A 27931-nucleotide genomic window follows, 5' to 3' on the forward strand; every position below is an offset into this window, starting at 1 on the left:
GCATCCCAGAAATAAAGCCTACTTGATCATGGTGAATTAACTTTTTGATGTGCTGCTGGATTTGGCTTGCTAGTATTTTGTTGAGGATTTTTATATATCTATTTTCATCAGGGATATTGGCCTGAAGTTTTCTTTTTTCATTGTGTCTCTGCCATGTTGTGGTATCAGGATGATGCTGGCTTCATAGAATGAGTTAGCGAGAAACCCTTTTTCCTTGATTTTTTGGAATAGTTTCAGTAGCATTGGTATCAGTTTTTGTACATCTGGCAGAATTCAGCTGTAAATCCATCTAGTCCAGGGCTCTTTCTGATTGGTAGGTTTTTTAATACTGATTCAATTTCTGAACTTGCTATTGGCCTGTTCACGTTTTCAGTTTCTTCCTGATTCAATCTTAGGAGGTTGTGTTTCTAAGAATGTATGCATGTCCTCTAGATTTTCTAATTTGTGTGCATAAAAGTGTTTATAATAGTCTCTGAAGATTGTTTGTATTTCTATGGGATTGGCTGAAATGTCATCTTTGTCATATCTGATTGCATTTATTTGAATCTTCTCTCTTTTTTTTTCTTTAAACCTCCTGCTTTCTATGTTAATTACATTCCTCATTTAGGACTCTGGGGCTGGAAATTGTGGGAATCCATTCATAAGTATAGGATGAGGAATACTTGAATTGGCATCATTGTATGTGAAAAAATGTATGAGGGATTTTTGAAAAAGCAGAAGTTTAACTTGAGCTAACTGCTTAGAAATAACAAAAAATGGGCCAGGCGCGGTGGCTCATGAGCGCCTGTAATCCCAGCACTTTGGGAGGCTGAGGCGGGCAGATCATGAGGCCAGGAGAGTGAGACCTTCCTGGCTAACATGGTGAAACCCCTTCTCTACTGAAAATACAAAAAATTAGTCGGGCGTGGTGGCAGGCACCTGTAGTGCCAGCTACTCGGAGGCTGAGGCAGGAGAACAGCATGAACCTGGGAGGCGGAGCTTGCAGTGAGCTGAGATCATGCCACTGCACCCCAGCCTGGGTGACAAAGTGAGACTCTGTCTCAAAAAACAAACAAATAAATAAATAAGTAAAGATCCCATTGTCAGGAGCACAGTGAGTTAATTTCAGGCAGTAATTATTCCTTTCCACTTTGCACTGGTCATAGATCATCTGGAATCTTGGGTTTAGTTCAGGGGTCCTTTTGTAAAAAAAAAAAAATTATTAAGAACAGGAGCAACTCAGTGACTCAGTGACTCAGTGGAGGGCAAAAGAATGGAGAGAAAGCCTTGAATCCATATGGCAGAAGAGCTTGTGGATGTTAATACAGAAGCAGACCAGAATATGGTGAGGCATTATATCCATCTATAAATAAAATACTGCCCTGTGTAATTAACAATAAAAATAAAACCTCAAGTAAGCTTGATTCTCATTTCTACTAAGGGTAGGACTAGGAGCAATGAGTAGAAACTATAAAGAAGCAGATTACAGCTCAATAAAGAAGAAAAAAGTTCATTTTCTGAAGACTACAACTGCCATCAATTGAGTGAGCTGATTCATGAAGCAGTGAGTCCCTTCACCCATAAGAAGAGAGGAGCCTACCTAGTAGGGCTTCCTGCAAGTAGTATTTAATACTGCATTTTCAAAGACTAAAAAACATGGATGTAAAATGTCTGTAGGAGCCTGTAAGAAAATTCTGTATCATTTGAGGCTATATAAAAGACAAGAGGAGGAATGAAGGTGGGGCTAAATTGGCGCAGCATGCTCTGCCAACCCATATTTAAATAGAGTTTATCTAAAAGCTCTATGTCAGAGCAAGATGGTAGAATAAAATGCCCCAGCCATCATTCCTCCCCAGAGACCCTGACAACAATATATAGTCCAAAAGGTCTTTATGAGAACTCCACAAATCAGTTAAGAAGTCACAGTACCCCAAGCAAGCATAAAGCCAAGAATAGCTGTATTTAAATGGATAATAAAAGCCATTGCATTTTACCCATGATAACCCTTCCTTCCAAGCTAGCACAGCTAAGTGCTTAGTGTAATCAGGAAAAAATAAATGTCCAAATTGTGGCTTCTGTCTCAGGAAAGAGAAGACTGAAATGTAGTCCAATGTTTCAGCTTTTCAGGGGGCTGCCTGAGCGACTGGTTTCTGTCTCATCTGACTCAGAGTGTTGACAGGGAACTGGCATACTTTAGATGTCTAGGAGCCACTGAGAAAAAAAAAAAAAGGAGAGCTAGGCAGCTTGTTGCTACATCTTACAAACCTGCAGTACACAGACAGATACTGCAGGAAAAAAGATATTATGAGCTTCTAAAAAAGAAACCAGAAAACCTCTCTAATTAGGAAAGCAAATGCACAAGCTTAGAGAAAACACATTCCTGAAAATGTTTGAGAGGACCCTAGAATCTCTAGCCAGGCTGATTGGTCAATATCTTCCTCTTACAAGGGATGTGAAGGACCTTTTCAAGGAGAACTACAAACCACTGCTCAAGGAAATAAGGATACAAACAAATGGAAAAACATTCCATGCTCATGGATAGTAATATACAGATTCAATGTTATCCCCATCAAGCTATCACTGACTTTCTTCATGGAATTGGAAAAAACTACTTTAAACGTCATATGGAACCAAAAAAGAGCCTGCATAGCCAAAATAATCCTGGGCAAGAAGAACAAAGTTGGAGGCATCGTGCTACCTGACTTCAAACTATACTACAAGGCTACAGTAACCAAAATAGCATGGTACTGGTACCAAAATAGATATATAGAATAGAACAGAACAGAGGCCTAAGAAATAACACCATGCATCTACAACTATCTGATCTTTGAAAAACCTGACACAAACAAGCAATGGGGAAAAGATTCACTATTTAATAAATGATGTTGGGAAAACTGGCTAGCCATATGCAGAAAACTGAAACTGGAACCCTTTTACAACTTATACAAAAATCAACTCAAGATGGATCAAAGACTTAAACGTAAGACCTAGCACCATAAAAATCCTAGAAGAAAACTTGGGCAATACCATTCAGGACATAGGCATGGGCAAAGATTTCATGTCTAAAAACACCAAAAGCCATGGCAACAAAAGCCAAAATAGACAAATGGGATCTAATTAAACTAAAGAGCTTCTGCATAGCAAAAAAAAAAAAAACAAAAAAAACAAAAAAAAAAACAAAGAAAAAAACAGAAAAAAAAACACAACTAAAATCAGGGTGAACAGGCAACCTACAGAATGGGAGAAAAGTTTTGCAATCTATCCATCTGACAAAGGGCTAATATCCAGAACCTACAAAGAACTTAAACAAATTTTCAAGAAAAAAACAAACAACCCCATCAAAAACTGGGCAAAGGATATGAACAGACACTTCTCAAAAGAAGACATTTATGCAGCCAACAGACATACGAAAAAAAGCTCATCATCACTGTTCATTAGAAAAATGCAAGTCAAAACCACAGTGAGATACCATCTCACGCCAGTTAGAATGGTGATCATTAAAAAGTCAGGAAACAACAGATCCTGGAGAGGATGGGGAGAAATAGGAACGCTTTTACACTGTTGGTGGGACTGTAAATTAGTTGAACCATTGTGGAAGACAGTGTGGCGATTCCTCAAGGATCTAGAACTAGAAATGCCATTTGACCCAGCAATCCCATTACTGGGTATATACCCAAAGAACTATAAATCATTCTACTATAAAGATGCATGCACACGTATGTTTTATTGTGGCACTATTCACAATAGCAAAGACTTGGAACCAACCCAAATGTCCATCAATAATAGACTGGATAAAGAAAATGTGGCATGTATACACCATGGAATACTATGCAGCCATAAAAAGGATGAGTTCATGTCCTTTGCAAAGACATGGATGAAGCTGGAAACCATCATTCTCAGCAAACTATCACAAGAACAGAAAACCAAACACCATATGTTCTCACTCATAAGTGGGAGTTGAGCAATGAGAGCACATGGACATAAGGAGGGGAACATCACACACTGGGGCCTGTCAGAGGGTGGGGAGCTAGGGGAGGGATAACATTAGGAGAAATACCTAATGTAAGTGATGAGTTGATGGGTGCAGCAAGCCACCATGGCACCTGTATACCTATGTAGCAAAACAGCACATTCTGCACATGTACCCCAGAACTTAAAGCATAATTTAAAATAAATAAAAATTTATTAGTGAAGTCCGACAAAAACTTAATCAAGCAGAAGAAAGAATCAGCAAACTCAAAGACAGGTACTTTTCCATTATTAAGTCAAAAGCACAAGAAGAAAAAAGGATAAAGAAGAAAAAGCAAAGGGACTTGTGGGACACTATCAAGTGGACCAGTATTGCATTACAGAACTTATACATTGAGAACAGAGAGAGAATAGTGAGCTTATGTGAGGAAATAATGGTTGTAAACTTCCCAAATATTCAAATATATATATATACATCCAAATTCAAGGAGCTCAAAGGACCCAACTAGGATAAATTGAAAGAAGTCCACCACAAGATACATTATAATCAAACCGTCCAAAGGCAAAGACAATGAGAATCTTGAAAACAGAAAGAGAAAATTGACTTGTCATATACAAGGATACTCCATAAATTATTAGTAGATTTCTCAGCAGAAACATTGGTAGTGGGGTTATATAATCAAGGTGCTGAAAGAAAACAACCTGCCACACAAGAATACTATAACTGGCAAAAGTGTCTTTCAAAGATGAAGGAGAAATAAAGACTTTCCAAGATAAACAAAAGCTGAGGGAGTTCATCAAAACTAGACCTGCCTTGCAAGAAGTGCTAGAGTCCTTCAAGTTGAAAGAAAAAGACATCAGACAGCAACACCAAGGCATAAGAGAAAAGTAAAGATCTCTGGTAAAGGTAAATATATCAACAAATACAGAATCCTGTAATACCATAATGGTAGTGCATAAATCACTTTTGAAAATTTTATTCTCTCATTAATACTTAATGGGTATACATATGTTGGAGGTACATGTAACGATTTAATAGAGTCACTTAATTTATAAAGATCAAATCAGTGAAACTGGGATATTCATCACCTTAAATATTTGTCTTTATGCTAGAAACACCTGAATTATTTTCTTCAAGCTATTTTAAAATATAGAATAAGTTACTGTAAACTGTAGTTACATACTGATCTATCAAACAGTAGGTCTTGTTTATCAAACTGTATGTTTCTACCCATTAATCAACCACACTTCATCCCCCCATCTCCCCTACCTTTCTTGGCCTTTTGTAACCACCAATCTATACTAAAGCTTTGGGAGATCCACTTAGCTCTCATATATGAGTGAGAACATGCAATATTTGTCTTTCTCTGCTTGGCTTATTTTATCTAGCATAATTACCTATAGTCCCATTGATGTTGCTGCAAATGACAGGATTTTATTCTTTTTATGGCTGAATAATATTCCATGATGTCTACATATCATATTTACTTTATTCTTCCATTAATGGACTCTTATTTTTATTCTGTATTTTGTCTATTCTGAATAGTGCTGCAAGAAATGTGTGAGTGCAGATATCTTTTTGATACATTGATTTCTTTTCTTTGAGATATATACCCAATAGTAGAATTGCTGTATCATACAGTAGTTCTATTTTTGTTTTTTTGAGAAACGTTCATACATTTTCCATAGTGACTGTGTTAATTTACATACTCACCAATGGTGTACTAGGGTTTCCTTTTCTCCACATCTTCATCAGCATACATTATTCCCTGTCTTTTTTATAGAAGCTGTTTTAACTACTGTGAAATGAGATGTAATTGTCATTTTTTATTTGCATTTCTCTAATAGTGATGCTGAACATTTTTATATACCTGTTGGTCATTGATAGGTCTTCTTTTGAAAAATGTCTATTGAATGTCTTTTGCCCATTTTTAAATTAGATTATTTGTTTTCATGCTGTTGAGTTGTTTGAGCTCCTTATGTATTCTGGTTATTAATCCTTTGTCAATTGAATAATTTGCAGTTTTTTTCCTCCCACTTTGTGGGTTGTCTCTTCACTTTATTGATTGTTTTCTTTGCTCTACAGAAGCTTTTAACCTGATGTAATCCTATTTATTTTTGATTTAGCTGCCTGTGCTTTTTAGGTCTTACATGAAAAATCTTTGCTCAGACCAATGTTTTGGAGTGTTTCCCCAATGTTTTCTTCTAATGGTTTCATAGTTGTGAGTCTTTAATCCATTTTGATTTGATTTTTGAGAAATAGGGGTCTTGTTTTATTCTTCTGCTTATGGTTATCCAGTTTTCATAGCATCATTTGTTAAAGAGATTATCCTTTCACTATTGTATGTTCTCGGCACCTTTGTGAAAAATAAGTTGGCCATAAATGTATGGATTTATATCTGGGATACCTATTCTATTCCTTTGGTCTATGTGTCTGTATTTATTCCAGTACCATGCTTATTTGTTTACCATAGCTTTGTAGCATATTTGGAAGTAAAGTAACATGATGGCTCCAGCTTTGTTATTTTTGATCAGTATTGCTTTGGCTATTTGTGCTCTGTTGTGGTTCCGTATACTTTTTTAGGAATGTTTTCTTCTATTTCTGTGAAATGACATTGATATTTTGAAAGATATTGCATTGAATCTGTATTAATTCTTCTAATTCATGAACATGGAATATTTTTCCATTTTATTGTGTCTTCCTCAATTTACTTCATGAGTCATTTATAGTTTACTTTGTATAGACCTTTCACTTCTTTGCTTAAATTAACTTCTAGGTAATTTATATTATTTGAAGCCATTGTACATGGGTTTGCTTCTTAATTTATTTTTCAGATTGTTCACTGTTGGTATATACAAATGCTACTGATTTTTGTATATTGATTTTGTTTACTGCAACTTTACTGAATTTATCAGTTCTAACAATTTTTTGTTAGAGACTTTAGGTTTTTCTAAGTATAAAACTATGTTATTTTCATATAAGGATAATTGAACTTCCTCTTTTTCTATTTGGATGCCTTTTTTTCTTTCTCTCACCTAACTTTTCTAGTGAGAACTTACAGTATTATGTTGAATAAAAATGGTGAAAGTAGGCATTCTTATCATATTCTGGATCTCAGTGGAAATGCTTTCAAGAGTTCCCTGTTCAGTACAATGTTAGTTGTGAATTGGCCATATATGGCCTTTATTATTTTGAGGTATGTTCCTTTTCTGAGATTTTTACCATAAAGAGATGTTGAATTTTATTAAATACTTTTCCAGCACCTATTGAAATTATCATATGGTTTTTGTTCCTGGTTATGTTAATGTGATGTATTATGTTAATTGATTTGCATATGTTGAACCCTCGTTGCATCCCTGGGAAGAATCTCACTTGATCATGGTGAATGATCTTTTAAAACTATTGTTGAATTCAATTTTCTTGGTTTTGTTGAGGATTTTTGTATCGATGTTCATTAGTACATTGGCTAGAAGTTTTCTTTTTTTGTTGTGTTCTTTTTTTTTTTTTTTTTTCTCCATGCCAATACATGTTAAACCAGTGAGTTGCACATCAAGTTCTGGAAAAAAAACCCTACACAAAGTTCTTCACAATTGGTTGACATTTCTTAAAAATAACAGTAATGTTTCAGCATTCCTCAGAGACCACATTATTCTTTTTTTTTTCCTTTTTTTTATTATTATACTTTAAGTTTTAGGGTACATGTGCACATTGTGCAGGTTAGTTACATATGTATACATGTGCCATGCTGGTGTGCTGCACCCACTAACTAGTCATCTAGCATTAGGTATATCTCATAATGCTATCCCTCCCCCCTCCCCCCACCCCACAACAGTCCCCACAGTGTGATGTTCCCCTTCCTGTGTCCATGTGATCTCATTGTTCAATTCCCACCTATGAGTGAGAATATGCGGTGTTTGGTTTTTTGTTCTTGCGATAGTTTACTGAGAATGATGATTTCCAATTTCATCCATGTCCCTACAAAGGACATGAACTCATCATTTTTTATGGCTGCATAGTATTCCATGGTGTATATGTGCCACATTTTCTTAATCCAGTCTATCATTATTGGACATTGGGGTTGGTTCCAAGTCTTTGCTATTGTGAAAAAGTGCCACAGTAAACATACGTGTGCATGTGTCCTTATAGCAGCATGATTTATAGTCCTTTGGGTATATACCCAGTAATGGGATGGCTGGGTCAAATGGTACTTCTAGTTCTAGATCCCTGAGGAATCGCCACACTGACTTCCAAAATGGTTGAACTAGTTTACAGTCCCACCAACAGTGTAAAAGTGTTCCTATTTCTCCACATCCTCTCCAGCACCTGTTGTTTCCTGACTTTTTAATGATTGCCATTCTAACTGGTGTGAGATGGTATCTCATTGTGGTTTTGATTTGCATTTCTCTGATGGCTAGTGATGGTGAGCATTTTTTCATGTGTTTTTTGGCTGCATAAATGTCTTCTTTTGAGAAGTGTCTGTTCATGTCCTTCGCCCACTTTTTGATGGGGTTGTTTTTTTCTTGTAAATTTGTTTGAGTTCATTGTAGATTCTGGATATTAGCCCGTTGTCAGATGAGGAGGTTGCAAAAATTTTCTCCCATTTTGTAGGTTGCCTGTTCACTCTGATGGTAGTTTCTTTTGCTGTGCAGAAGCTCTTTAGTTTAATTAGTTTAATTAATTTAGTTTAATTAGAAGCAATTTAGTTTAATTGAATTAAATCCCATTTGTCAATTTTGGCTTTTGTTGCCATTGCTTTTGGTGTTTTAGACATGAAGTCCTTGCCCGTGCCTATGTCCTGAATGGTAATGCCTAGGTTTTCTTCTAGGGTTTTTCTGGTTTTAGGTCTAACATTTAAGTCTTTAATCCATCTTGAATCGATTTTTGTATAAGGTGTAAGGAAGGGATCCAGTTTCAGCTTTCTACATATGGCTAGCCAGTTTTCCCAGCACCACTTATTAAATAGGGAATCCTTTCCCCATTGCTTGTTTTTGTCAGGTTTGTCAAAGATCAGATAGTTGTAGTTATGCGGCGTTATTTCTGAGGGCTCTGTTCTGTTCCATTGATCTGTATCTCTGTTTTGGTACCAGTGCCATGCTGTTTTGGTTACTGTAGCCTTGTAGTATAGTTTGAAGTCAGGTAGTGTGATGTCTCCAGCTTTGTTCTTTTGGCTTAGGATTGACATGGCGATGCGGGCTCTTTTTTGGTTCCGTATGAACTTAAAGTAGTTTTTTCCAATTCTGTGAAGAAAGTCATTGGTAGCTTGATGGGGATGGCATTGAATCTGTAAATTACCTTGGGCAGTATGGCCATTTTCAGGATACTGATTCTTCCTACCCATGAGCATGGAATGTTCTTCCATTTGTTTGTATCCTCTTTTATTTCATTGAGCAGCGGTTTGTAGCTCTCCTTGAAGAGGTCCTTCACATCCCTTGTAAGTTGGTTTCCTAGGTATTTTATTCTCTTTGAAGCAATTGTGAATGGGAGTTCACTCATGATTTCGCTCTCTGTTTGTCTGTTGTTGGTGTATAGGAATGCTTGTGATTTTTGTACATTGATTTTGTATCCTGAGACTTTGCTGAAGTTGCTTATCAGCTTAAGGAGATTTTGGACTGAGACGATGGGGTTTTCTAGATATACAATCATGTCATCTGCAAACAGGGACAATTTGACTTCCTCTTTTCCTAATTGAATACCCTTTATTTCCTTCTCCTGCCTAATTGCCCTGGCCAGAACTTCCCACACTATGTTGAATAGGAGTGGTGAGAGAGGGCATCCCTGTCTTGTGCCAGTTTTCAAAGGGAATGCTTCCAGTTTTTGCCCATTCAGTATGGTATTGGCTGTGGGTTTGTCATAGATAGCTCTTATTATTTTGAAATACGTCCCATCAATACCTAATTTATTGAGAGTTTTTAGCATGAAGGGTTGTTGAATTTTGTCAAAGGCCTTTTCTGCATCTATTGAGATAATCATGTGGTTTTTGTCATTGGTTCTGTTTATATGCTGGATTACATTTATTGATTTGCATATATTGAACCAGCCTTGCATCCCAGGGATGAAGCCCACTTGATCATGGTGGATAAGCTTTTTGATGTGCTGCTGGATTCGTTTTGCCAGTAGTTTATTTATGATTTTTGCATCAATGTTCATCAAGGATATTGGTCTAAAATTCTCTTTTTTGGTTGTGTCTCTGCCCGGCTTTGGTATCAGAATGATGCTGGCCTCATAAAATGAGTTAGGGAGGATTCCCTCTTTTTCTATTGATTGGAATAGTTTCAGAAGGAATGGTACCAGTTCCTCCTTGTACCTCTGGTAGAATTCAGCTGTGAATCCATCTGGTCCTGGACTCTTTTTGGTTGGTAAGCTATTGATTATTGCCATAATTTCAGAGCCTGTTATTGGTCTATTCAGAGATTCAACTTCTTCCTGGTTTAGTCTTGGGATAGTGTATGTGTCGAGGAATTTATCCATTTCTTCTAGATTTTCTAGTTTATTTGCATAGAGGTGTTTGTAGTATTCTCTGATGGTAGTTTGTATTTCTGTGGGATCGGTGGTAATATCCCCTTTATCATTTTTTATTGTGTCTATTTGATTCTTCTCTCTTTTTTTCTTTATTAGTCTTGCTGGCAGTCTATCAATTTTGTTGATCCTTTCAAAAAACCAGCTCCTGGTTTCATTAATTTTTTGAAGGGTTTTTTGTGTCTCTATTTCCTTCAGTTCTGCCCTGATTTTAGTTATTTCTTGCCTTCTGCTAGCTTTTGAATGTGTGTGCTCTTGCTTTTCTAGTTCTTTTAATTGTGATGTTAGGGTGTCAATTTTGGATCTTTCCTGCTTTCTCTTGTGGGTATTTAGTGCTATAAATTTCCCTCTACACACTGCTTTGAATGCGTCCCAGAGATTCTGGTATGTTGTGTCTTTGTTCTCGTTGGTTTCAAAGAACATCTTTATTTCTGCCTTCATTTCGTTATGTACCCAGTAGTCATTCAGGAGCAGGTTGTTCAGTTTCCATGTAGTTGAGTGGTTTTGAGTAAGATTCTTAATCCTAAGTTTTAGTTTGATTGCACTGTGGTCTGAGAGATAGTTTGTTATAATTTCTGTTCTTTTACATTTGCTGAGGAGTGCTTTACTTCCAAGTATGTGGTCAATTTTGGAATAGGTGTGGTGTGGTGCTGAAAAAAATGTATATTCTGTTGATTTGGGGTGGAGAGTTCTGTAGATGTCTATTAGGTCCGCTTGGTGCAGAGCTGAGTTCAATTCGTGGGTATCCTTGTTGATTTTCTGTCTCGTTGGTCTGTCTAATGTTGACAGTGGGGTGTTAAAGTCTCCCATTATTAATGTGTGGGAGTCTAAGTCTCTTTGTAGGTCTCAGGACTTGCTTTATGAATCTGGGTGCTCCTGTATTGGGTGCATATATATTTAGGATAGTTAGCTCTTCTTGTTGAATTGATCCCTTTACCATTATGTAATGGCCTTCTTTGTCTCTTTTGATCTTTGTTGGTTTAAAATCTGTTTTATCAGAGATTAGGATTGCAACCCCTGCCTTTTTTTGTTTTCCATTTGCTTGGTAGATCTTCCTGCATCCTTTTATTTTGAGCCTATGTGTGTCTCTGCACGTGAGATGGGTTTCCTGAATGCGGCATGGGTCTTGACTCTTTATCCAATTTGCCAGTCTGTGTCTTTTAATTGGAGCATTTAGTCAATTTACATTTAAAGTTAATAGTGTTATGTGTGAATTTGATCCTGTCATTATGATGTTAGCTGGTTATTTTGCTCGTTAGTTGATGCAGTTTCTTCGTAGTCTCGATGGTCTTTACATTTTGGCATGACTTTGCAGCGGCTGGTACCGGTTGTTCCTTTCCATGTTTAGTGCTTCCTTCAGGAGCTCTTTTAGGGCAGGCCTGGTGGTGCCAAAATCTCTCAGCATTTGCTTGTCTGTAAAGTATTTTATTTCTCCTTCACTTATGAAGCTTAGTTTGGCTGGATATGAAATTCTGGGTTGAAAATTCTTTTCTTTAAGAATGTTGAATATTGGCCCCCACTCTCTTCTGGCTTGTAGGGTTTCTGCCGAGAGATCCGCTGTTAGTCTGATGGGCTTCCCTTTGAGGGTAACCCGACCTTTCTCTCTGGCTGCCCTCAACATTTTTTCCTTCATTTCAACTTTGGTGAATCTGACAATTATGTTTCTTGGAGTTGCTCTTCTCAAGGAGTATCTTTGTGGCGTTCTCTGTATTTCCTGAATCTGAACGTTGGCCTGCCTTGCTAGATTGGGGAAGTTCTCCTGGATAATATCCTGCAGAGTGTTTTCCAACTTGGTTCCATTCTCCCCATCACTTTCAGGTACACCAATCAGACATAGATTTGGTCTTTTCACATAGTCCCATATTTCTTGGAGGCTTTGCCGTTTCCTTTTATTCTTTTTTCTCTAAACTTTCCTTCTCGCTTCATTTCATTCATTTCATCTTCCATTGCTGATACCCTTTCTTCCAGTTGATCGCATCGGCTCCTGAGGCTTCTGTGTTGTTCACGTAGTTCTCGAGCCTTGGTTTTCAGCTCCATCAGCTCCTTTAAGCACTTCTCTGTATTGGTTATTCTAGTTATACATTCTTCTAAATTTTTTTCAAAGTTTTCAACTTCTTTGCCTTTGGTTTGAATGTCCTCCCGTAGCTCAGAGTAATTTGATCGTCTGAAGCCTTCTTCTCTCAGCTCGTCAAAGTCATTCTCTGTCCAGCTTTGTTCCTTTGCTGGTGAGGAGCTGCATTCCTTTGGATGAGGAGAGGCACTCTGCTTTTTAGAGTTTCCAGTTTTTCTGTTCTGTTTTTTCCCCATCTTTGTGGTTTTATCCACTTTTGGTCTTTGATGATGAAGTACAGATGGGTTTTTGGTGTGGATGTCCTTTCTGTTTGTTAGTTTTCCTTCTAACAGACAGGACCCTCAGCTGCAGGTCTGTTGGAGTACCCTGCAGTGTGAGGTGTCAGTGTGTCCCTGCTGGAGGGTGCCTCCCAGTTAGGCTGCTCGGGGGTCAGGGGTCAGGGACCCACTTGAGGAAGCAGTCTGCCCGTTCTCAGATCTCCAGCTGCGTACTGGGAGAACCACTGCTCTCTTCAAAGCTGTCAGACAGGGACATTTAAGTCTGCAGAGGTTACTGCTGTCTTTTTGTTTGTCTGTGCCCTGCCCCCAGAGGTGGAGCCTACAGAGGCAGGCAGGCCTCCTTGAGCTGTGGTGGGCTCCACCCAGTTCGAGCTTCCTGGCTCCTTTGTTTACCTAAGCAAGCTTGGGCAATGGCGGGCGCCCCTCCCCCAGCCTCACTGCTGCCTTGCAGTTTGATCTCAGACTGCTGTGCTAGCAATCAGCGATACTCCGTGGGGTAGGACCCTCTGAGCCAGGTGCGGGATATAATCTCGTGGTGCATCGCTTTTTAAGCCTGTCGGAAAAGCGCAGTATTCGGGTGGGAGTGAACCGATTTTCCAGGTGCCATTCGTCACCCCTTTCTTTGATTAGGAAAGGGAACTCCCTGACCCCTTGCGCTTCCCAAGTGAGGCAATGCCTCGCCCTGCTTCGGCTCGTGCACGGTGCGTGCACCCACTGACCTGCACCCACTGTCTGGCACTCCCTAGTGAGATGAACCGGGTACCTCAGATGGAAATGCAGAAATCACCCTTCTTCTGCGTCGCTCAGGCTGGGAGCTGTAGACAGGAGCTGTTCCTATTCGGCCATCTTGGCTCCTCCACCTGTTGTGTTCTTATCTTGTGTTGGTATCAGGGTAATGCTAGTGTCTTAGAATGGGTTTGAAGTATTCCCTCCTCTTCAGTTTTTTTTTTTTTTTTTTGAAGATTTTGAATAGAATTAGTATAGTCTTCTTTAAATATTTAGTAGAATTCAGGTGAAGCCATCAGGTCCTGGGCTTTTCTTTAATAAGAGACTTTTTATTACAACTTTTATCTCATTACTAGTTATTCGTTTGGTGAGGTTTCCTCTTTGTTCATAGGTCAGTCCTGGTAAGTTGTATATGTCCAGGACTTTTCCATTTTTCCTAGGTTTTCTAATTTATTAGCACATAATTGTTCATAATAGTCTCTAATGATACTTTGTATTTCTGTGGTTCCAGTGGTTATGTCTCCATTTTGTTTCTGATTTTATTTATTTTTGGTGTACTCTTTTTTTTCCTCCCTAAATGTTTGTTGATTTTATTTATCTTTTCAGAAAACCACCTTTAATTTTATTGATCTTCTGTATTGTTAATTTAGTCTAAATTATGTTTAATTCTGCTTTGATTTTTATTATTTATTTTCTTCCACTAATTTTGGGTTCAGTTCATTTTTTATATTCTAGTTCCTTAAGGTGAATGATCTACTTATTTGAAGTCTTTCTGCTTTTTTGATATAGGTGTTTATTGCTATAAATGTCCCTCTTAGTACATCATTTGCTGTATCCCATAGATTTTGGTCTGTTGTATTTCAATTTTCATTTGTTTTAAGAAATATTTTAATTTTCTACTTCATTTCTTCATTGACCCATTGATCAGTCAGGAGCATGTTGTTTTATTTTCATGTGTTTGTGTAGTTTCCAAGATTCTTCTTATTATTAAATTCTAGTTTTATTCCATTGTTATCAGAAAAGATACTTTATATAATTACTACTTTTTATAACTTCTTTGAACTTGTTTTGAGGCCTACCATGTGGTCTATTCTGGAGAATGTTTCATGTACTGATGAGAATAATGTGATTCTATTGCAGTTGGGTGAAATATTCTGTAAATGTCAGTTAGGATTTCTTTTTTCTAGTGTGTAGTTTAACTCCAATATTTCTTTGTTGATGTTTTCTGTCTGGATGACCTGTCCCTTACTGAGCGTGGATTGTTGAACGTTCTGCTATTATTCTATTGCAGTCTGTCTCTTCCTTTAGATGTATTAATGTTTGTCTTATGTATTTGGGTGCTCCAGTGATGGTTGTGTAGATATTTATAATTGTCATATTCTCTTGCAGAATTGGCTTTTTCATTATATAGCAATCTTTGTCTCTTTTTACAGTCTTTAACTTCTAGTATATTTTATCTGATATAAATGTAGCTATTCCTGCTCTTTTTTTGGTTTATTTCCATAGAATATTTGTTCCCACTCTTCATTTTTAGTCTATGTGTATCTTTATAAGTGAAATGAGTTTCTTCTAAGCAACATATAGTTAGATCTTGTTCTTTATCCATTCAGCCACTTTATGCTTTTTTTTTTTTTTTTTGAGATGGAGTCTCACTCTGTTGCCCAGGCTGGAGTACAGTGGCACAATCTCGGCTCACTGCAAGCTCTGCTTCCTGGGTTCACACCATTCTCCTGCCTCAGCCTCCTGAGTAGCTGGGACTACAGGCACCTGCCATCACGCCCGGCTAAGTTTTTCGTATTTTTAATAGAGATGAGGTTTCACCATGTTAGCAAAGATGGTCTCGATCTCCTGACCTCGTGATCTGCCTGACTCACCCTCCCAACACTTTATGCCTTTTAATTGGAGAATTGAGTCAATTTAGATTCATTGTTATTACTGATAATTAATAATTTATTACTGCTATTTTGTTGCTTTCTGGTTGTTTTGTAACTCATATCTTCTTTTCTTTCTTACTGTCTTCATTTGTGGATAAGTATTTTCTCTAGCAGCATGTTTTAATTTGTTAATTTGTTGCTTTTTATGTTTAGTAAATCTATTATAGGTTTTTGCATTGTAATTGTGATCAGGCTTATTAAAAGCATCTTATTGATATAAAAAGTTATGTTTAAAAGATGACAACATATCTTAGATTAAAAAGAATGGAAATATACAAATGTTCGTCTAGGAGAAATGTTCTCTCTCCTTCACATTTGAAAGATAGCTTTGCTAGATGTAGTATTATTAGATGAGAGTTTTTTTTTTTTCATTTCAGCACTTTAAAAATGTCATTCCACTACCTTCTGACCTGTAAGGTTTCAGTTGAGAAGTCTGTTGTCATACAAATTGGATTCCATCATATCTCATTCACTTCTTTTCTCTTGTTACTCTTAGTGTCCCTTTTGTCTTTGATCTTTTTTGTTTTGAGACAGTGTCTTGGTCTGTCATCTAGGCGGAAGTCCAGTGGCATGTTCATAGCTCACTGAAGCCTTGAACTCCTAGGCTAAAGAAGTTAGCCTAGAGATCCTCCTTCCTCAGCCTCCCAAGTAGCTGTGACTACAGGCATGTGCTTGGCTAATTTTTATTTTTTATTTTTGTACGGATGGGGTCTTGTTATGCTGGCCAGGTTGGTCTTGAACTCCTGGCCTCAAGTGATCCTCCTATCTTAGCCTCCCAAGTTGCTGGGGTTACAAATATAAGCCACTGTGTTCAGTCCTTGTCTTTGACATTTGAGAGTTTTATTATTATATGCCTTAGGATACTTTTATTTGGTTGATTCTCTTTGGTGTTCTCTGACTTTCTGGATATTTATCTCTTTTGCAAGTTTTGTAGTCTTTCTAATTATTTTTTTGAATAAGTTTCTATTACTTGCTATTGCTCAACTCTTTCTTGTACACAAATAATTCTTAGCATTGGTCTTTCAAGGTGATTTTCTATATCTTATAGGCAATCTTTCTTCTTTTTCATTCTTTTTTCTTTTTTATCCTCTGACTATATTTTCATATAGGCTGTCTTTGAGCTCACTGATTCTTTCCTCTGCTAGATTCTTTCTTCTGTTGAGAGCCTCTAATGAATGTTTAAGTTCAGCAAATGTATTTATTGGTTCTAAGATTTGTGTTTGATTTTTTAAATTGTTTTAATCTCTTTGTTAAAATTTTCTAATAAATTTCTGAATTGCTTTTCTGTGTTATCTTGGAAATCACTGAGCTTCCTTAAAACTGGTATTTTGAATTCTTGGTCAGATAATTCACATATTGCTATCTCATTAGGGCCAATCACTGTATCTTTGCTTTGTCCACTTGGGAAGGTCAAATTTTATGGTTTCCTGTTTCCTTTTTTTTTTTGTGTGGATGTACATTTATGTCTGCATTGGAGGATTAGTTATTTATCCAAATCTTCTATGTCAGACTTGTTTTGATTTTTATTGGATATACTTGCTTAGAGATTCTTTGCAGTTTACCTGTGGACCTTCTTTCTTTTGTTTATTTGGTATTTTCCCCAATAGATCACTACCTCTTTGAGCCCAGGTTTACTTCAGTTCTAGTAAAAAATCAGAGTGTTGCCCATTCCAAATGTGTTGCCCATTCCAAATGGTTGGCTAGGGGTTCTTGCTGAGGGAACATGTCGAGCAAACCACTTACAGTGTGGTGCCACTGAACAGCCACTCTGATGTGGCGTGTCTTTGGGCAAGTTACAGAGCAGAGTTTCCAAGTCTGGGGATGATAGTTCTGTGTCCACACTTTGTCTCTGGCTGTCCTCAGGGATATTTCTCCATTTAGGCACTTGTGATGTTTCCTGTAGGTGAGGCGAGGCAGGTATCCCATGAAAAAACCCAAAATGGCTAGGAAGATGGTTGTCTTCCATGTTCTCACTTTTTCCATGTAGAAACTGTGAGTCAGGGGGAAATTTACCATGTGCTTGTTCCCAGCAGATTGAGGGGAGGGGTATTGTGAATATGAAAGTTCACCTCTTGGGCTCAGTGGCTCACACCTGTAATCCCAGCACTTTGGGAAGCTGAGCCAGGCAGATCACCTGAGGTTAGGAGTTCAAGACCAGCCTGACCAAGATGGAGAAACCCCATCTCTTCTATAAATACAAAAACTTAGCCAGGCATGGAGGTGCATGCCTGTAATTCCAGGTACTTGGGAGGCTGAGGCAGGAGAATTGCTTGAACCCAGGAGGCAGAGGTTGCAGTGAGCCAAGATAGCGCCACTGCACTGCAGCCTGGGCAACAAGAGTGAAACTCCGTCTCAAAAAAAAAAAAAGAAAGTTCAATTATCTTATGCCTTCTTGGAGTTTTTGTACTTCTCTGTGGCCCTGGGTCCTGTCTGATCCTCACATTTGAATTCTGGGATATTGGTGATGGTGACAATCTTTTTTTTTTTTTTAACTTTTATTTTAGGTTCAGGGGTACATGTGCAAGTTTGTTATATAGGTCAACTGCATGTCATGGGGGTTTGGTGTACAGATTATTTTATCACTCAGGTAATAAGCATAGTACTCGAAAGGTAGATTTGATCCTCTCCCTCCTCCTACCTTTATCTCTCAGGTAGGCCCCAGTATCTATTGTCGCCTTCTTTGTGTTCATGTGTTCTCATTGTTTAGCTCCCACTTATAAGTGAGAACATGCGATATTTTGTTTTCTATTACTATGTTAGTTTGCTCAGAATAATAGCCTTCAGCTCCATCCATGTTGCTGCAAAGAAAATGATCTCATTATTTTTATGGGTGGGTAGTGTTCCATGTTAAATATGTACTTTATTTTCTTTATTCAGTTTATCATTGATGGGCATTGAGTTTGATTCTACATCTTTGGTATTGTGAATAGTGCTGGAATAAACATATATGTGTTTGTGTCTTTTTGGTAGAATAGTTTATATTCCTTTGGGTATATAACCAATAATAGTATTGCTGGGTTGAATGGTAATTCTATTTTAAGTTTTCTGAAGAATTGCCACACTGCTTTTTACAATGGCTGAACTAATTTACATTCCCACCAGCAGTGTGTAAGCATTCCTTTTTCTCCACAATCTCACCAGCATCTGTTATTTTTGACTTTTTAATAGTAGCCATTCTGACTAGTGTGAGATAGTATCTCGTGGTTTTGATTTGCATTTCTCTAATGTTTAGTGATGTTGAGCATTTTTTTCTTATGCTTTTTGGCCATGTGTATGTCTTCTTTTCAAAAGTGTCTATTAGTGTCCTTTGACCACTTTTATTTTTATTATTTTTTTAACTTTTATTTTAAGTTCAGGGATGCACATGGAGGTTTGTTAGATAGGTAAACTCATGTCATGGGGATTGGTTGTACAGATTATTTTGTCATCCAGTGACTAAGCTTAGTACCCATTAGTATTTTTCCTGATTCTCTCTCTTATCCCTCCACCCTCAAGTAGGCCCCAGTGTCTGTTATTCCCTTCTATGTGTCCCTGTGTTCTCATTGTTTAGCTCCCACTTATAAGTGAGAACATGTGTTATTTAGTTTTCTATCACTGTGTTAGTTTGCTAAGGATAATGACTTCCAGCTCCATCTATGTCCCTGCAATGGATAAGATATTGTTCATTTTTATGGCTGCAAAGTATTCCATGGTGTATATATACCCCATTTTCTTTATTCAATCCACCATTAATGGGCATTTTGGTTGATTCAATGTCTTTGCTGTTGTGTATAGTGTGTAAGTAGTGCTGCACTAAACATATGCATGCAGATGTCTTTGTTTTTCTTTCTTTCTTTTTTTTTTTTGAGACAAAGTGTCACTCTGTCACCCAAGCTGGAGTGCAGTGGCATGATGTTGGCTCACTGCAACCTCTGCCTCCCAGGTTCAAGCGATTCTCATGCTTCAGCCTCCCAAGTAGCTGGGATTACAGACATGCGTCATCATACCCGGCTAATTTTTTTTATTTTTAGTAGAGATGTGGTTTCACCATGTTGGCCAGGCTAGTCTCAAACTCCTGACCTCAGATGATGCACTTGCCTTGGCCTCCCAACGTGCTGTGGTTACAGGCATGAGCCACCACACCCAGCCACATGTGTCTTTATGATAGAATGATTTACATTCCTTTGGTATATACTCAGTAATGGGATTGCTGGATCGACTGGTAGTTCTGTTTTTAGGTCTTTGAGGAGTTGCCACACTGATTTCCACAATGTTTGAACTAATTTACACTCCCACCAACAGTGTATAAGCACTCCTTTTTCTTCCTAACCTTGCCAGCATCTGTTATTTTTTTATTTTTTAATACTTGCCATTTTGATGGGTGAGAGATGTTATGTCATTGTGGTTTAGATTTGCATTTCTCTAATGATTGGTAATGTTGAGCTCTTTTTCCCATGCTTTCTGGCCACATATATGTCTTCTTTTGAAAAGTATCAATTCATGTCCTTTGTTCACTTTTTAATGGGATTGTTTGATGGTTTCTTGTACATTTATTTAAGTTCCTTAAAGAAGCTTAATATTAGACTTTTGTCAAGTTTATAGTTTGCAAATATTTTCTTCCATTATGTAGGTTGTCTGTTTACTCTGTTGATAGTTTCCTTTGCTGTGCAGAAGCTCTTTAGTTTAATTAGAAGCCATTTGTCAATTTTTGCTTTTGTTGCAATTGCGTTTGACATCTTTGTTATGAAATCTTTGCTCATTCCTGTGTTCTGAATAGTATTACCTAGATTGTCTTCCAGGGTTGTATTCTTTTGGGTTTTACATTTAAGTCCTTAATGCATCTTGAGTTGGTTTTTGTATATGGTGTAAGAAGGGATCCAGTTTCAACCTTCTGCATATGGCTAGCTAGTTATCCCAGCACAATTTGTTGAATAAGGAGTCTTTTTTCCACTGCTTGTTTTTTTCAGCTTTGTCAAAGATTAGATGGTTGCAGATATGCAACCTTATTTCTGTGCTCTTTATTTTGTTCCATTGGCCTATGTGTTTGTTTTTGTACTAGTACCATGCTGTTTTGGTTACTATAGCCTTGTAGTATAGTTTCAAGTTGGGTAACATGATGCTTCCAGCTTTGTTCTTTTTGCTTAGGATTGTCTTGGCTATTTGGACCTTTTGTAAAAAGGTTCCATGTGAATTTTAAAATAGTTGTTTCTAATTCTGCAAAGAATGTTACTGGTAGTTTGGTAGAAATAGCATCTGTAAATTTGTTCAGGCAGTATGGCCATTTTAACAATATTCATTCTAGCTGATGATAATCTTTGCATTACATGTTTGTTTTTAATTTTCTGTGTGTGTGTGTGAGGGGATAGGGAATGAGGCCAGTACTTCTATGCTGCCATTTTGGAACCAGAAGTCTCATAAATCACTTTTGATTTGTGCATACAATTTAAAAGATAAAAGCATAACAAATAGCTGTAATTGTAAAATTATGTTAATGGATACAAAATACATATAACAAACAAAGTATGGGGGAAATAAATGACTAGAGTTTTTGTATCTGATTGAAGTTGTTACCAGTTCTAAATAGATGATTATAACTATGAAATGTTTTATGTAATCTCCATGGTGACCACAAAATAAATACCTATAGAAGATATACACAGAAAACGAGAAAGAAATCAAGCATGTCACTACAAAAAATCAACAAAACACAAAGAAAGGCAGTAAGAGAGTAAAGAATGACAAAATAACAAGTTATAAAAAAAACAGTTTAAAATGGCAGTTTTAAATCTTTCCCTATCAGTAATTACTTTAAATGTAAATAAATTAAATGCCCCAGGCTGAATGGATAAAAACAAAAACAAAATCCGACTATAAGCTGTCTACAAGAGATTCACTATAAACATCAGCAAAAGGATGAAAAATGATATTCCATGACAATGGTAATTAAAAGAGAACAGGGTTGATCATACTTACATCAGAAAAAAAATAGACTTTAAGTTAAAAATTGTTGCATGAGACAAAGAAAAACATTATATAATGATATAAAAATCAATTCACCAAGAAGATATAACAATAATACAAACATGTCTGTCATTGGAGCACCCAAATATATGAGCAAATATTGACAGAATTGAAAGGAGAAATAAATGATAACACGTTAATATTAGGATACTCTACTTTCAGTAGTAGATAGAACAACCAGATGCTTAATAAGGAAATAGAGGATGTGGACAACATTATAGACCAATTGCACCTAACAGACACATATATAACACTGTACCCAATAGCAACACATTGTACATTCTTTAATACACACAGAACATTCTCCAAAATAGATTCCGTGTTAGATCACAAGATCAGTCTTAACAAATTTAACAAGATTGAACTCATGCCAAATATCTTTTCCAACTATAATGAAATAACACTAAAAATTAATAGCAGAAGAAAACCATGAAATTTACAAGTATGTGAAAATTAAGAACACTATTGAAGAATCATTGGGTCAAAGAACATATAACAAGGGAATTCAAAAATATCTTGAGAAAAATGAAAATTAAAACATAGCATACTAAAACTTATAGGATCCAGCAAATGCAGTACTAAGGGCTCTGGAAGGCTATAGTCATAAACACTTACGTTAAAAGGAGAAGGATCTTAAATCAACAACTTAATTTTATGCCTCAGAGAAATAGAAAAAGAACAAAATAAACCCAAAGTTAGCAGAAGAAATGAGCTAATAAATATTAGAGTAGAAATAAATAAAATAGACAATATAAAAACAAGAGATAAAAATCAATGAAACTGAGTGCTGTTTTGTTGAAAAGAGCAACAAAATTGACAAACTCTTAGCTAGACAAAAGATGATCAAATAACAAACACCAGAAATGAAAAAGGAGATATTACAACTAATGCCACAGAAATTAAAATAAAAGATCATGATATAATAGTATGAATAATTGTACATTAAAAACTGGATAACCTAGAAGAAATGGATATATTTACAGAACCATGCAAACTACCAAAACCGAATTATAAAAAAATAAAAAGCCTGAACAGACCTATAACTAGTAGGGAGATTAAATCGGTAATTAAAAACCTCCCAGCAAAGAAAAGCCCAGGACAAGATGGCTTTACTGGAGACTTCTGGAAAACATTTAAAGAAAAATTAACACCAGTGTTTCTGAAACTCTTTCAAAAAACTGAAGAGGAAGGAATGCTTTCAAACTCATTTTTTTGATGCCAGCATTACTCTGATACCAGAATCAGACAAAGATGCTGTAAGAAAAGAAAACTACATACCAATAACCATGAGGAATATTGGGACAAATTTCCTTAACAAAATACTAGCAAATACTTTAAAAGGATTTAGTCCTGCAATGCAAATATCCCATAACCAAGTGGGATTGAGTCCTGCAATGCAAATATGGTTCAGCAAATGAAAGTCAATTCAGTGTAACATACTGCATTAACAGAATGAAGGACAAAATTTACATGATCATCTCAATTAATGCAGAAAAAGTATTTGAGAAAACTCAACACACTTTTGTGATAAAAATACTAAACAAACTAGAAATAGGAATAAATTACCTCAACATAATAAATGCCATATATAAACAACTCATAACTAACATAATAGTGGTGAAAAACTAACATCTTTTCCTCTAGTGATCTTTTTCTCTAAGATCAGGTATAAGGCAAAGATTCTCACTCTCACTGCTTCTATTCAATATAGTGCTGGAAGTCTTAGCCAGAGCAGTTAACCAAGAAAAAGAAATAAAACTTATACAAGTAGAAAAAACAAGTGAAATTATCACTATTTACAAATGATATAATCTTATATGTAGAAAACAATAAAGATTCCACACAAGAAAATCCTGTTAGAACTAATCAATGGATTCAAGAAAGTTGCATGATATAGAATCAACACAAAAAAATCAATTGCATTTCTATACACAGAACAAGGCAAAAAGGAAATTAAGAAAATAATCCTATTTATAATACCAACAAAAGAATAAAACAGTTAGGAATAAATTTAACCAAGGAAGAAAAATACTTTACACTGAAAACTACAAAACGTTGCTGAAAGCAATACTAAAAGAAACAAATAAATGTAAAGACATTCTGTGTTCATGGATTACAAGACAATATTGTTAAAATGTCCATACATACTTAAGTATTCTACAGACTCAATGCAATCTCCATCAAAATCACAATGACACTTTTCTTTTTTTTTATTATACTTTAACTTTTAGGGGACATATGCACAACGTGCAGGTTTGTTACATATGTATACATATGCCATGTTGGTGTGCTGCACCCATTAACTCGTCGTTTAACATTAGGTATATCTCCTAATGCTATCCCTCCCCCCTACACCCACCCCACAACAGGCCCCGGTGTGTGATGTTCCCCTTCCTGTGTCCATGTGTTCTCATTGTTCAATTCCCACCTATGAGTGAGAACATGCAGTGTTCGGTTTTTTGTCCTTGTGATAGTTTGCTGAGAATGATGGTTTCCAGCTTCATCCATGTCCCTACAAAGGACATGAACTCATCCTTTTTTATGGCTACATAGTATTCCATGGGGTATACGTGCCACATTTTCTTAATCCAGTCTATCGTTGTAGGATATGTGGGTTGGTTCCAAGTCTTTGCTATTGTGAATAGTGCCTCAATAAACATACGTGTGCATGTGTCTTTATAGCAGCATGATTTATAATCCTTTGGGTATATACCCAATAATGGGATGGCTGGGTGAAATAGTATTTCTAGTTCTTTTTTTTTATTATACTTTAAGTTTTACGGTACATGTGCACAATGTGCAGGTTAGTTACATATGTATACATGTGCCATGCTGGTGTGCTGCACCCATTAACTCGTCATTTAGCATTAGGTAAATCTCCTAATGCTGTCCCTCCCCCCTCCCCCCACCCCACAACAATCCCCAGAGTGTGATGTTCCCCTTCCTGTGTCCATGTGTTCTCATTGTTCAATTCTCATCTATGAGTGAGAACATGCGGTGTTTGATTTTTTGTCCTTGCGATAGTTTACTGAGAATGATGATTTCCAATTTCATCCATGTCCCTACAAAGGACATGAACTCATCATTTTTAATGGCTGCATAGCATTCCATGTTGTATATGTGCCACATTTTCTTAATCCAGTCTATCATTGTTGGGCATTTGGGTTGGTTCCAGGTCTTTGCTATTGTGAATAGTGCCACAATAAACATACGTGTGCATGTGTCTTTATAGCAGCATGATTTATAGTCCTTTGGGTATATACCCAGTAATGGGATGGCTGGGTCAAATGGTATTTCTAGTTCTAGATCCCTGAGGAATCGCCACACTGTCTTCCACAATGGTTGAACTAGTTTACAGTCCCACCAACAGTGTAAAAGTGTTCCTATTTCTCCACATCCTCTCCAGCACCTGTTGTTTCCTGACTTTTTAATGATTGCCATTCTAACTGGTATGAGATGGTATCTCATTGTGGTTTTGATTTGCATTTCTCTGATGGCCAGTGATGACGAGCATTTTTTCATGTGTCTTTTGGCTGCATAAATGTCTTCTTTTGAGAAGTGTCTGTTCATATCCTTTGCCCACTTTTTGATGGGGTTGTTTTTTTCTTGTAAATTTGTTTGAGTTCATTGTAGATTCTGGATATTAGCCCTTTGTCAGATGAGTAGGTTGTGAAAATTTTCTGCCATTCTGTAGGTTGCCTGTTCACTCTGATGGTAGTTTCTTTTGCTGTGCAGAAGCTCTTTAGTTTAATTAGATCCCATTTGTCAATTTTGGCTTTTGTTGCCATTGCTTTTGGTGTTTTAGACATGAAGTCCTTGCCCATGCCTATGTCCTGAATGGTAATGCCTAGGTTTTCTTCTAGGGTTTTTATGGTTTTAGGTCTAATATTTAAGTCTTTAATCCATCTTGAATTAATTTTTGTATAAGGTGTAAGGAAGGGATCCAGTTTCAGCTTTCTACATATGGCTAGCCAGTTTTCGCAGCACCATTTATTAAATAGGGAATCCTTTCCCCATTGCTTGTTTTTCTCAGGTTTGTCAAAGATCAGATAGTTGTAGATATGTAGTGTTATTTCTGAGGGCTCTGTTCTGTTCCATTGATCTATATCTCTGTTTTGGTACTAGTACCAGGCTGTTTTGGTTACTGTAGCCTTGTAGTATAGTTTGAAGTCAGGTAGCATGATGCCTCCAGCTTTGTTCTTGTGGCTTAGGATTGACTTGGCAATGCGGACTCTTTTTTGGTTCCATATGCACTTTAAAGTAGTTTTTTCCAATTGTGTGAAGAAAGGCATTGGTAGCTTGATGGGGATGGCATTGAATCTATAAATTACCTTGGGCAGTATAGCCATTTTCATGATATTGATTCTTCCTACCCATAAGCATGTAATGTTCTTCCATTTGTTTGTATCCTGTTTTATTTCATTGAGCAGTGGTTTGTAGTTCCCCTTGAAGAGGTCCTTCACGTCCCTTGTAAGTTGGATTCCTAAGTATTTTATTCTCTTTGAAGCAATTGTGAATGGGAGTTCACTCATGATTTGCCTCGCTGTTTGTCTGTTATTGGTGTATAAGAATGCTTGTGATTTTTGTACATTGATTTTGTATCCTGAGACTTTGCTGAAGTTGCTTATCAGCTTAAGGAGATTTTGGGCTGAGACAATGGGGTTTTCTAGATATACAATCATGTCATCTGCAAACAGGGACAATTTGACTTCCTCTTTTCCTAATTGAATACCCTTTATTTCCTTCTCCTGCCTAATTGCCCTGGCCAGAACTTCCCACACTATATTGAGTAGGAGTGGTGAGAGAGGGCATCCGTGTCTTGTGCCAGTTTTCAAAGGGAATGCTTCCAGTTTTTGCCCATTCAGTATGATATTGGCTGTGGGTTTGTCATAGATAGCTCTTATTATTTTGAGATACGTCCCATCAATACCTATTTTATTGAGAGTTTTTAGCATGAAGCATTGTGGAATTTTGTCAAAGACCTTTTCTGCATCTATTGAGATAATCATGAGCCTACATTGCCAAGTCAATCCTAAGCCAAAAGAACAAAGCTGGAGGCATCACGCTACCTGACTTCAAATTGTACTACAAGGCTACAGTAACCAAAACAGCATGGTACTGGTACCAAAACAGAGATATAGACCAATGGAACAGAACAGAGCCCTCGGAAATAACACCGCTTATCTACAACTATCTGATCTTTGGCAAACCTGACAAAAACAAGAAATGGGGAAAGGATTCCCTATTTAATAAATGGTGCTGGGAAAACTGGCTAGCCATATGTAGAAAGCTGAAACTGGATCCCTTCCTTTCACCTTACACAAAAATTAATTCAAGATGGGTTAAAGACTTAAATGTTAGACCTGAAACCATAAAAACCCTAGAAGAAAACCTACGCAATACCATTCAGGACATAGACATGGGTAAGGACTTCATGTCTAAAATACCAAAAGCATGGCAACAAAAGCCAAAATTGACAAATGGGATCTAATTAAACTAAAGAGCTTCTGCACAGCAAAAGAAACTACCATCAGAGTGAACAGGCAACCTACAGAATGAGAGAAAATTTTTGCAATCTACTCTTCAGACAAAGGGCTAATATCCAGAATCTACTATGAACTCAAACAAATTTACAAGAAAAAACAAACAACCCCATCAAAAAGTGGGCAAAGGATATGAACAGACACTTCTCAAAAGAAGACATTTATGCAGCCAAAAGACATATGAAAAACAATGACACTTTTCAAAGAAATAAAAAATTATAAAATTCATATGGAATCAGAAATACCCTGAAAAGCCAAAGCAATTATGAGAAAGAAAAAGCTGGATGCCTCAAACTCCTGATTTCAAAACAAGTTATAAGGCTAAAGTAATTAAAACAGTGTAGAATTGGTATAAGGACAGACATATAGACTCATGGAACAGAATAGAAAGCCCAGAAATAGACCCTTTGGTATATGGTCAAATGATCTTAAACAAGGGTGCCAAGGTTATATAATGTGGAAAAGATAGTCTCTTCAACAAATGATATAGGAAACAGATTAATGATTTGACGTAAGATGTGAAACTATGCCAGAAGAAAATATAGGGGAAAGCTTCATGATATTGGATTTTGCAGTGATTTATTGGATATAATAACAAAAGTAAAAGCAAAAAAAGCAAAAGCAGACAAATGGTACTATATCAAACTTAAAAAGTTTTGCACATCACAGGAAACAACAGAGTGAAAAGGCAAACTATGTAATGGAAGAAAATATTTGCAAACCACATTGTTTGAAAAGGGGTCAATATCCAGAATATATAAAGATCTACAACTGAACAAAAACAAAAAAACAAATAACCAATTAAAAACTGGGGAAAGTCCTTGAATAGACATTTCTCCAAAGAAGATATACAAATGGCTAACAGGCTTATGAAAAGATGTTGAACATCACTGATCATTAGGGTGATACAAATC

At 36.7% G+C, this 27931-nt stretch overlaps 1 protein-coding gene across 2 annotated transcripts in view; it reads left to right on the forward strand.

The window, feature by feature from the left end:
- METTL15 (methyltransferase 15, mitochondrial 12S rRNA N4-cytidine) overlaps positions 1 to 27931 on the forward strand; it is a 424088-nt gene that overhangs the window by 256620 nt on the left and 139537 nt on the right. The gene's annotated exons all lie outside the window — the stretch shown is intronic.

The sequence above is a fragment of the Homo sapiens genome, chromosome 11, assembly GCF_000001405.40.
Source record: "Homo sapiens chromosome 11, GRCh38.p14 Primary Assembly".
Lineage (NCBI taxonomy): Eukaryota > Metazoa > Chordata > Mammalia > Primates > Hominidae > Homo > Homo sapiens.